At 35.1% G+C, this 13069-nt stretch overlaps 1 long non-coding RNA gene across 1 annotated transcript in view; it reads right to left on the bottom strand.

The window, feature by feature from the left end:
- LOC124904475 (uncharacterized) overlaps positions 1-13069 on the bottom strand; it is a 765263-nt gene that overhangs the window by 88677 nt on the left and 663517 nt on the right. The window contains exon 6 of the long non-coding RNA XR_007066777.1: positions 4686-4731. This is a non-coding gene — a long non-coding RNA (uncharacterized LOC124904475). The remainder of the gene's footprint in view (positions 1-4685; positions 4732-13069) is intronic.

Raw genomic sequence — 13069 nt, 5'->3', positions numbered from 1 at the left:
AAGTGAGCTGGCCTACTGGACAACTCCCAGTCCTAGAGAGCAGACACAAGACACCAGAACTCCACGTGAGGCCCTCCTACAGCAGCCAGTCTCAAGGCAATCTGGCACCTAAGGGCAGAAGCATGAGTGACACCATCTGAGACCAGCAAAAGCCCTTCCCTGGTTGAAACCAGCTAAAACTGCCCATGCACAGAATCTTACAATAAATAAAGGTTGATATGGTTTCTTATGTGGAATAGAAAACTGATAAAGCAGGGGCAATTACTTTATAATAGAATAGGTGTAATTTTCTGGTGCGGTGGCTTACGCCTGTAATCCCAGCACTTTGGGAGGCCGGGGCAGGCAGATCACTTGAGATCAGGAGTTCGAGACCAGCCTGACTAACATGGAGAAACCCCGTCTATACTATAAATACAAAATTAATCTGGGTGTGGTGGCACATGCCTGTAATCCCAGCTACTTGGGAGGCTGAGACAGGAGAATCGCTTGAACCCGGAAGGCAGAGGTTGTGGTGAGCCGAGATCGTGCCATTGCACTCCAGCCTGGGCAACAAGAGCGAAACTCCGTCTCAAAAAAAAAAAAAAAAAGACACAAATCAGCTGGGCATGGCGGCTCATGCCTGTAGTCCCAGCTACTTGGAAGGCTGAGGCAGGAAAATGGCTTGAACCCAGGAGGCAGACGTTGCAGTGAGCCAAGATCGCGCCACTGCACTCCAGCCCGGGCGAGAGAGTGGGACTCCATCTCAAAAATAGGTGTAATCTTGGTAAGCATATATGATAGTATGCAATTTCACTGGTATTCAAAAAGAAAATATAACTAAAAAGCAATTTTTTGTCTCATTCATGAAGGAGAAAAAGACAAAAAATTCACTGGTAAAAGTTAAAGACTTTTAGCTCATGAGTAATGAATACAACAAAAACAAGATGTGGAAGTGGTAATAAATATAATTAACTGGATATATCTGATTGATTAATATCAAAATTTAGAACCTGAAAAGAGTATATCTTTCTAGATTTTCATTCAATAGTTATGAAAATTGACTTTACAGCATAAAGCATATACAATAATTCCAAAAAATTAGTAGTACAAACCTTTTCTGAACACTACTTAATGACATGAGAAATTGAAGACAATATTGGAAAGAAAAATCCTCCTTCCATTTGGAAATTTGGAAACCAAAATGAATTTCCATTGTTGGAATAATTTTTAAAATAAAGAAATAAAAATGAAAACACCACAAATAAAAAGATACATTTTATAAATCTCATATACAGAGGTAGAAAAATCTAAACAGACATATTTCCAAAGGAGCATAAACTATTCTTAAGGAGTCATTCCCTCAAAAAGTACTAGGCTCAAGGCGTAGATGCAGATAGCAGCTGGATAAATGGGAGACAAAGGTGGGAGATTGTTTTCTCTGTATATCTTTTTATACTTTTAACATTTTCTACTATTACAATATATTAACCATTACATATCCATATATAGAGACCAAAATAAAATGAAAATAAGTTAAGGGCAAAGTTAATTACTTGAATCATTATGTTATGGTGTGATTACTGTAAACAATGCATTTACATTTGTTCCTGGCATATAAGAAGTTAATAAATATGAACTACATTTTATGTATGCTTGAATGTATTTAAAAGAAGGTTTTGTTGGGGTAGGCTCACCCAGGTCATTTAACAACCAATATAACTAGTTTCAATTATACATTAATTTCAATTTGACAGTTTAAGCTCATTGAGTCACAAATCAGAGTCAGAGTCAATGGTCTCCTAAAGCCAGGTCCCCACTTATTAAAAGTTAAGGACCCTACAAAACTAGGGCACCTGAACATCAGGTTGCAAATGATTATTAAAAAGAAACAGTTACAGATTTGTGTATTGTAGTAAAGTATACAATGTTAAATAATGATAGATTGAACACTAAAAACGCACTGCTAAATCAGTTATAAATAGATCAATTAATAATGCCTTATTTCTCTTGGAATTCATCCAAAGAACTAATATCAGTTGAAAATATGCAATGTGCAATATACTGAAGAAGCCAAGCAGTGGTTGATTTATTTTGAAAATTAGCCAAGGGAATCCAAACTATAAAGTAGCATTATGGAATATAGATAAAAATATTTGGGTATCCTAACTGATAAATATTTTCCTAGTGAGAATTATCTAGAGCATTTTATTTGCTTTTTCAAACCCAGTTTTTAAAAGCTGTCCTTAAACTTTTCTGTTTACAGATTTTAAAAGTTATTTTTGATATCATCTTCAACTTTGAAAATTTGAGGTTTGTTACTACTTTTACCATTGCAAAATAAACTACTAAGTATTTATGTGAAAGCAATTTCAGCTGCAGTTTAATCACAGAGAATTTCATATCTCTCCGGAAAAAACAAATGCAAGTCAGCATATAACTTTGGTATTGTTGGTCCTTGATCTATATCAAGAGCAAAGTTACCAATTAAATTTAGAAAAGCATTTGTTATGAGTAGTCTCTCTGCGATGATAATGATTGTCTAGAGATAAAAATTTTTCTCTAGGGAGTCTCTAGACACAGCCATTCTATGAAACAGGTCCAATGATGTTACAATAGTTAATAAAGTATAAAAATGTATGAGTTTTCTAGATTCTGCTTATTTTAAAATATCAATAGTTTAAGATGCTACGTTGTTTTATTATCTACTTTCTAAATATAGTAATTGCAGCCAATTTCAGGTAATAAAATACACTTAGAAAAATAAAGTTAAAATATACCAACTTATTGGAGTAAAAAGGAAGGGTATTATATTCTTCCAGTAATAATCATGTCACATTAGGTAGGTAAAGATATATTTATCTAAAAGAGCATTTTTATTTTCTTAAGAGTTCTGTTTTCTAAGAAGGAGTCAATGAAACTGAATATACATCAGAATTTCAAGTATGGTAGAGCCAAATTATTTTGAACCATTGGTAACACATTCTGTTTACTTATTTCATATGCCGTACTAGTGAGTTTCTAAATAAACTCATTTCTAAAGTATATTTTGCTACTTTAGTTTACTTTTTCCTACTTCCACTATCCTCCATCATAATAGAGATACAGAATTTTTTTAACTAAATTATAAATGTTGTTTATAAATTCTAGGGAAAGGAAAGGGAACATTTTAGTGTATTTCCTAGATCTAGGCATATAAATTGATTTGAAAGCATGGAGTGGTTTTGCTGTTACCACAGCTTAGCTCCTCTTAAAATTCTTATATCAACTTTTGGTTATAATTTAAATTTTCAGGTGTAAAATATACTATTTATCAGGAATTTGAGCAATGACAAGCAATTACAATGGGAATCTTTGTGAGGTAACATGAATTAAAATCATTTATTCTTATAAACTCAAAACTCAGATAGAAAACAAAGTTTGTCATTATTAACTATTATGTTGCCGAACACCAATAAGATTATTAGATATGTGTAGAATACACATGCTTGGCAAACTGCCATAAATAAGAATAGTCAGATGGCACTCTCTAAAGACCTCCAATGATCTCCTCTTACATATAACAGAGATCAGAGAGGCTGTTTTAATTTGTTCAATTGTCACATTTAATAGGAGAAATCCTTCCAAATTAGTTTTAGTTGTATGTTAATGAAAAACCTGGTTTCTTATTAAAAATCATCTGGGAATAGTTTTGAAGTACTGATGTGAAGGACCCACATGTCATGGGTCTGGAGTAGAGTTAACACATGGAGGTTTTTAAAAGTTCTCCAAGTGATTCCCTTGTGGAGCCACACTCAAACAAAAATGTCACTTGTTTTTATTTCTCAGGCTTATCCAACTGTTTCCATTTAAGCTTCCCTCCTTGGCTTTGATTTGGTGCCTCATTATCTAGAACCTATGTATCTTACTATGAATCTCAGTAACAAAATCACCCAGAATTCTCATTATCTATTAAGTATTTATACTTCCTAACTGGAACTCAGAGATTAAAATTCTTAATGTCTGATGTGGATCCTAGAAATCTGTATGTTTAATGAGCTCCTCAGTTGCTTTTGATGAAAATAATGCATGGACATATTAAAATAGGCTTTGGAATTATAAACTTTGAAGTCAGTCCGCATGACGATTAGCACACTTGTTTCAATGTTATTGTAATTATAACCATGGGAAAGTTGATATGCCTCTTTCAAGTAAAAATAGAACCACTTCCAGATTATATTGTGGGGATTACATTAATTGAATATAAAGCATTTAACACAGTTACTGCCATATATAATATAAGTATTTTATCAATGTTTTCTTGCAACGTTATTTACTTGTTGGCACCTATTCAATTACCCTTATCTATCTACCTAGATTCTTCACACAATTCAGTTAGGGTATCAGAATCTGAGTTTCTTACAAGGCCTCTTAGCCTCAGATGTTTTTAATTATTCCAAGGATTTCTGATTGTGACTTCAGTTTTAATAACAATGATAAACTTATAATTTTTAATATAAACACTCATAATTATTAAGTCAAATTTTGACTTCAGGTAAAACACATTGTTGTGGGTGAGAAACAGTTCTACGCAAGTGAGAAAGCTACTGTGAGATGGATAGATAATCCAAAGTTTACCAAATATAAGAAAATAATAATACCTCCAGGAATTCTGGCTTAACAGAATAAAGTAACACAAAGGTAGTATAGAAAGTAACTTTCTCACTCACCCAGACTCCTTGGGTTTGAGATGTTCTGAGGTTTATTGTTTGCATCCTAGAGAGCAAAAATATAAAGTTAATGTGCAAAGGAGTATTCTTTTTTTTTTTTTTTTTGAGACAAAGTCTTGCTCTATTGTCCAGGATGGAGTGCAAAGGCATGATCTTGGCTCACTTCAACCTCCGCCTCCCAGGTTCAAATGATTCTCCTGCCTCAGGCTCCTGGGTAGCTGGAATTGCAGGTGCACACCACCATGCCTGGCTAATTTTTGTATTTTAGTAGAGATGGGGTTTCACCATGTTGGTCAGGCTGGTCTCGAACTCCTGACCTCGTGATTCAACCGCCTTGGCCTCCCAAAGTGTTGGGATTACAGGAGTGAGCCACCGCACCTAGCCAGGAGTATTCTTTAATTGCAGACTCTCCTTCTTCACTTACAATTTATAGTTGCATTACTCACCGTGGGCTAACATATATGGAAGTATGCGCTTCACAGATTTGACTTGGTTGGTCTCTTTCTTTTGGCTAGCTGATATGTAATTACCTTTACAGCTTCAGAAATAATTGCCCCAGTCATCTGTAGATAGGGTAACAGGGTTGGTTTCATCTTCATTAAAAGAGTACAAGAGGGGACAATCTGAACTTTTATCTTTTGGGTTAGAAGCAATTTGGGTTGTTTCCACAGTATCTTGGAGGAGCCATAAGCAGACTAAAAGGAGCTATAATTTGTTATACGATGAAAAGATCATAAATATAGTACAATGTTTAAAGATTGACTGATTCAACAAATGTTTGCTTTTAAAATTAAAGGGTTTGACTTCACCAAACAGTCTCTAAACACTGGTCTGCAAACACATGTATAAACTAAAAATAATTCTATTTATGTCCTACTGGTGATACCTTAATTTGCCAATATTAATCTTTTTTAAGAGGTTTGTCTTTTGCTTGAAGAAGAGAGTAAAAAAAATCCATGATATTTACATCTGGGTATAGACTATTCAAGTTTTCTAGAGAAGGAGAAGAGATAAAGATTAATAGTTTTATTTCTAGGAAAAATATTAAGATTTTAGAAGCATCTTAGTTGTTGATAGGTCTCAGAAGTAATTAAATGAGTGAATATAATAGAGAGGAGATGAGGCATTCCAAAAGCTTAATCCTACTTTAATGTTAATACTATTCTTAAATAGTTGTTTTCATTTTTTAGGGCAAAAGTAAATAATTTGAATGTACGTTATTCATGAACTAGAAAATTATTTAAAGTGGACAGTTGGGAATCGTAAAATAACATGCAAATTAAAAAACATATTGAATCAACCTGTAGAAAGAAAAATGGCCATAAACATTCCAAACATCAAGATAAATGTTGATTCATTTGATCTGAAAATAATATTTTTAAGAAGCTATAAAAAAGGTAATTTTAAAACCAGTAATGTGACAAAATAAAGACTAAAAACACTCTGGGTGTATCACACCTAAAAATACCCAGCCCTTGAGGTCAAAACTATTTTTATAATGACACTGTAAGTATTCTTTCTATTGTGATGACCTTGTTTTTTATTTATAATATTATTGATTTGTGTTCTCTTCCTTTATTGCTGGTCAGTGTTTAGAGGAATGTGTAAATTTTGTTGATCTTTTTAAAGAACACATTTTTGTGTTTGTTAAATTTCTCTATTGTTCATCTGCTTTTAAAAAATTGATTTCTGTTGTTATCATTATTATTTCCTTCCTCTTACTTATTTGAGCTCATTTTGCTTTTCTTTTACTAGCTTCTTAATATAGATCCTTAAGTCACTGGCTTTAAAAGTATTCAAGATGGTATTTAAACTTTCCCTTCATGAATTGCTTTCTTTGCTGTATTTGATGAATTTTGAAGTGCGAGTTTTTTTGATATTCACTTAAAAAATTGCCAATATCACTTTTATTCCATCTTTGACTTGTGAATTGTTTAAATACGCATCATCTTGTTTCTAAATATTTGGATTTTCCTAGATGTTTTATTGCTGATTTCTAACTGAATTTTGTTTTTGGTTAGAAAACATAGTCACAGGTTTTCAATCCTTTTAGATTTATGAAGATCTATTTTATGACCAAACGTGCAGTCTATCTTAGTGAATATGTAATTCTATTCTCTCAGACAAATCAGCTGTGATAGTTCATCACAATTAGATCTGTCTTACAAGCAATGATAAAGAAGTTCTCCAAGTTGAAACAAAAGGATGCTAACAATGCATATGAAAGTATGAAACTCACTATAATGGTAAAACTATATTCAAATTCAGAATATTCTAATACTCTAATGATGGTGCATGAATAACTTTTAATTCTAGTATTAAAGTAAAAAGGCAAATGTATTCAAAAGAACTAGCTATAATAATTTGGCAATGGAAACTTAATATGTAAAAGGTAAATTGTGCCATCAATAACATAAAAGTTGGTGGAGGGGAAGTTAAAATGTAGGGTTTTGTATGCAGTAAAAGTTAGATTGTTATCAACTTAAAATAGAATATCGTAACTAAAAGATATTCTATGTAAGCCTCATAGTAGCCACAACATACAAAGGCAAAAGCCTGTACCACATACAAAAAAGATAAAGGAATTAAAGCATACCATTACAAAAAATTAATCACATTAAAAAGAAGACAAGAGAGAAAGAATAAAACAAAGATTAAACTACAAAACAGTCAGAATACAACAAAATGGCACTAGTAAGTCCTTACCTATTAATAATTACTTTAAACATAAATGGATTACATTTTTCTATCGTAAAATAAATGTAGACAAAACATTTGACAATGACAAAGTTCAACATATATGCATGATAAAAATTCTAAACAAAATTGGTTACCAAAGGAACTTACCTCAATACAGTAAAGACCATTCATAAAACGCTTATAGCTAACATCATAATCCATTAGGAATAACCGAAAACTTTGCCTCTGTACTCTGATACAAGGCAAGTACCTACTCTTGCCACTTTTGTGTAACACTGTACTGAAATTCCTAGCCAGAGAAATTAGACATGAGAAATTAATAGAAAGGAAAAAGTAAAATTACTTTTGCAGATGATATGATTCTATTTGTAGAAAACCTATAAGACCCCATTAAAAGCTGTTAACTAATAAGCAAATTTAGTAAAGCTGTAGGATACAGAATTAATATTCAAAAATCACTTGTGTTTTTTTACATCAACAAAACTTCCAAAGAAAATGAAGAAAATAATCCTATTTACAATAGCACCAAAATCAACAAAATATTTAGGAATAAAGCTAACCAAGAAGGTGAAAGATTTGTGTAATATAATACAGTGATGAAAGAAATTGGAAAAGATACAAATGAAGAGAATTATATCCCATATTTATGAATTGGAAGAATTAATATTGAAAAAAGGCCATACTACCAAAATTAAATTATACATTCAATAAAATCCCTATCAAAATTTCAGTCATCTTTTACCAAATTAGGGAAAAAAACCTCTAAAATATGTATGAAATGACACACACACACACACAAAAAACGCAGACAGCCAAAGCAATCTTAAGAAAAATGAAAAAAGTTAAAGGAATTAACTTCCTGATTTCAAATTATATTACAAAGCTATTGTATTCAAAATATTATGGTGCTGGCTTAAAAACAGTCATACAGACCAATGGAACAAAATGAAGAGCCAAGAAATAAACTCACACATGAAAAGTCCACTAATTTTTGAGAGGGGCACAAAGAATATACAATGTGGTTATTAGTCTCTATAACAAATGGTGTTGGAACAACTAGATATTTACATGAAAAACAATAAGTGGGATCTTTATCTTATACCATACACAGAAAACAACTTAGAGAATTAAATTTAAGACCTGAGACCATTAAACTCCTAGGAGAAAACATAGGAAATATTTCCTTGCCCTTGGTCCTGGTAATAATTTTTTTGTATGGCACCAAAAGCATAGAAAACAAAAGCAAAACTGTGTAAGTGGGATTGCATTAAACTAAAAAGCTTCTGCAAAGCAAACAAAAAAGATAAAATAAAAAATAGAAAAGAAAGAAAAGACAACCTATAAATGAAGAGAAACTGTTTGAAAACTATACATCTGATATGAATTTAATATACAAAATATCCAAAATACATAAGGAATTTGCTATGATTTGAACGTGTTCCCCCAAAATTTAGTTGGTGGAAACTTGGTTGCCATTGTGGTAGTGTTAAGAGGCAGGGCCTTAAGAGGTAATTAGGCCATGAGGTTTCCTTCCTCATTAAGGGATTAATGCCATTATCTCAGGAGTGGGTTAGGTATGCCAGGAATGGATTCCTAATAGAAAGGAGGAGTTCAGCTCATTTACCTCTGTGCCTTGTATGCCTGTGTGTCCTTCTGCCTGTTTTCCATGGGCTAACTAACTCAGCAAGAAGGTCTTTACCAGACATCAACACCATGCTCTTGGATTTTCCAGAACTATGAGAAATACATTTCTTTTCTTTATAAATTACACAGTCTGTAATATTCTATTGTAGTAACAGAAAATGGACTTAGAAAGCACTCATACAATTCAGTAGCGAAACACACACATAACCAAATTTTAAAATGGGCACAGGAGCTGTCTTAGTTTCTTTGTACTGCTACAATAAAATATCACCCTGGGTAACTTAGAAACAGTAAAAATTTATTTCCTCGTGGTTCTGGAGGCTGAGAAGGCTAAGATGAAAACACCGGCTTGTGAGGGCCTCGTTTATCTGTTTCCAAGATGGTGCCTTGTTTCTGCATCCTTTGGAGAGGAAGAATGTTGTACCCTCATGTAGAACAAAAAAACAGAAGGGCAATAAGGGCCTGAGTTATTCCCTGTATCCCTTTTACAAAACACTAATTTATTGATGAGACTGGAGCCCTCATGACATAAATCACTTCCCAAAAGGCACCATCTCCCCATACTGCCACAATGGGGATTAGGCCTCGATAACATGAATTTGAGAGGGAGCATATTCAAACCACAACATTCTGCCCCAAAAATATATGTCCTTCTCACATGCAATATAAATTCATTTCATCCAAATAGCCTCAAAAATCTTAATTTATTTCAGTATCAACTCCAAAGTTTAAAGTCCAGAGTTTCACCTAAATACCATCTCCACCAGATACAGGTGAGACTGAAGGTATGATTCATCCTGAAGCAAATTCCCCTTTAGCTGCGAGCATTTGAAATTAAACAATTATGTGCTACCAAAATACAAAAGTGGGACAGACATAGAATAGACATTCCTATTCCCAAAAGAAGAAATGGGCAAGAAGACAGGGGTAACATGTCCCAAATGAATCCAAAGCCAAACATGGCAAACAACATTAACTCTTAATTATTGAGAATAATCTTCGATTCCATGTCCTGCTTTCACACACTGGCATGGTGGTTAGATCTCCAGGGCTCCAGGGGATCCTGCCTTCATAGCTTTGTGGGGCAAAGCCCACACCAGAGCTCTCCAGGGTTGAAGTCTAGTGTCTGTCACTCTCCCAGGCTGGAGTTCCATTTTGGTGGTTGTACAGTTCTGAGGTCTTAGTGGTGAAGCTGTCCTCATGGCTTCACTAGGCATTGCCCTAGTGGGGACTCTGCACCAGCCATGTTCCTGTGGCAGTTCTGTGCCTGGGTCCCAAGACTCTCTGAGACATCATCTGAAATCTAAATGGAGGTAGTCGTGCCTCCACAGCTCTCGCACTCTGCTAATATGCAAGGTTATCACCACATGGACACTGCCAAGGTTTACTACTTGTACTGCCTTTGAGAAGGGCAGCCTAAGCCATGCCTGGGCTAACTTGAGCCACAGCTGGGGTGGCAAGTGCTGCAACACAATTTAGGGAACAGAGACTTGAGGTGGCCCTGAGAAATCAGCCCTGCAGTTCCAGGTGTGCCTTATTCCCCTTCCTTGAAACTGTTTTGCCCTCAAAGCCTTGGCATTCTGAGCCGATGGAAGTGGCAGCCTCAATGATTTAAAAAATGTCCTTGAGGTTATTCTTTCATTGTCTTGATGGATAGCATCTGGCTTCCTTCTGTCCATACTAATCTCCTTATTACACTTTATTTGTCCACACCTTTTGTATTCTCTTCCAAATATGACTTAATTCTTTACATGACTAAGCTGAGAATTTTCCAATTCTTTAAGTTGTGCTTCCTTTTTAGTTATATATTCCATCTTCATTTCATTTCTCTCTTTTTGCAGTTTACTCTAAAGCTTATTTGTAGGTTTAAACCATTTGTATTTTAGAAGTTTCTTTTAATGAAAATGGTGTTGCTTTCATAGAAAAAAAAGATAATTCCTCCATTTCATCATCTCATCCTGGGAAACAAAAATGGCAAGTGCCATTTTCATTCCAAAAATTATAAAATGTTTATACATAATATATTAAATTTAAGAGCATGAGCATCAATAAACTATAAAATAAATGAAGATAGAATTTATCTGAAAAAGGAAAGAAGATAAGTCAATGTGTGGTGTTATAGCATTAAACTAAAGTCAATTACTTGTCAATTTACCTAACACAAGGGATATAACAGATAAATAAAGGCAGGATTTATCAGAAAATTGCTGCAAACTTACAGGATGATCTTCAGAGGATTACTAAAATAGAATCATATCCTGTATTTATTGATGCCATGATTCTCTCCCCATCTTCATCCTGGGAATGAACATGAATAATTCACTAAGTATCACTGCTGTGTGTTTTAAAATATTTTGCTGGTTCAAAATGTTTTAACAACAGCTTCCATGTTCAGGATGCCAGACCTACTGCCATCAGCAAGAAGATAAAACCATTTTTTTAATGAAATCTAAACATTAATATGTATGTGGCTATGGCAGTTACCACCTAAAAATTAGCAAATTAATAGATAATTGTATGTTCTTTGCATTCTCTTAGTAAAAAATTACTAAGCATAAGAGTGCATGTAATTTGGGTAAAATTATTTTCTAGTTAAAGAAGAAAGTTGGATGAGAGTGCCTGATAGAGCTGTAGCAACAAGATTTAATCTTTTAAATGTTTAACAGAAACCTTTTTTATTGTTTAAATCTAGCAGCTTACTTAGACAGATGTGTTTCTTCAATTTTGAGGATAGCAGCTGCTCAAAATCAAAAATAATAGACATGGGTAGTTTTAAATAGCAAACATGAAAGTTGATTTCCCAACCTTACTTTCTGCCAAACAGCTGGGCAGCCATAAGGCATACCAGCCTAACTGGTGGCAATTAATAGCCATGTGTATTCAAGTTAGTACTGAACCCAGTACAGGTTCAGAAGCTTATACCATCCACTGACTGATCACATGCAACTTAAAGATTGCTACAAACATATTATCTTTCAAAATGTAGGTGATAATAGCTTCAATATCTCACTATAGAAAGGAAATATGTACTTTTCAAAAATGTATGCCATATGGGAATACCGATTCTGCCTATGATGATGTGAGCTTCTAAGATCCACCCCACTTACTGATTATAATTCTAAAATTTGGATAAATTACAAAGAAAACAAAAAAAAAAAACAAAAAACCACCTGAGAACCCTGAAAAGTAAACAAAGGCTCATGGGTCATGGAGATAGCCATCTTCACAACCTGGAGAAGCAATCCAGTCACAGGGGCATTTTCTGTTTTTATTTTTGTTTCTTCTTTTCTCTTAGCTTTGCCACATGGGAGGGGGCCAGGTAAGTGCTGGGTAGAGAAGAGTGGGTCCCTGGTTAGGGGTCCACCCCTTGGCCTGTGCCCTCGGACCTAGGTGAGGACGGGCATTTCTGTTCTCGTGCCCAAATCTTCCATTTTCCAAGACGACTCTGGCCCTCCACGCCCCCATCCTGTGCCTATAAATCCCCGGTGCCCTAGTGGGTAGAAACACGAGTGGGTGGACATTGAGTGAAACACACCAGAGGAACACACAAGCGGCTGGACGTCGAGAGGAACATACCGGTGGAAGGGCACACCGACCGGCACCGGCAGACGCCAGCAGGCCATCCACCAGCTGAATGATGCGGAGTTTAGCTGGGGCCGGTCGGACGGAGGAGAACCTAGCCGCGGGGCAGCCCACTCCAAGGGAAAACTACCTTCCCACTCCATCCCTCTTCTTGCCTCCCCGTCCACCTCACTGAGAGCTACCAACACTCAATAAAATACCTTGCACACATTCTCCAAGCCCATGTATGATCCGATTTTTCCAGTACACTAAGGCAAGGATCCAGGATACAGAAAGTCCTCTGTCCTTGTGATCAGGCAGAGGGTGTAACTGAGCTGATAACACAAGCCGACTTTCAGATGGCAAAACTGAAAGAGCACAATGTAACACACGCCCACTGGCCTCAGGAGCTGTAAACAGTCACCCCTAGAGGCTGCCGTGGGGTCAGAGCCCACCCTCCCCATGACCTGCCCATCTGC

Source organism: Homo sapiens, chromosome 1, assembly GCF_000001405.40.
Source record: "Homo sapiens chromosome 1, GRCh38.p14 Primary Assembly".
NCBI classification, from domain to species: Eukaryota; Metazoa; Chordata; class Mammalia; order Primates; family Hominidae; genus Homo; species Homo sapiens.
This window is presented reverse-complemented; position numbering and strand designations above follow the sequence as displayed.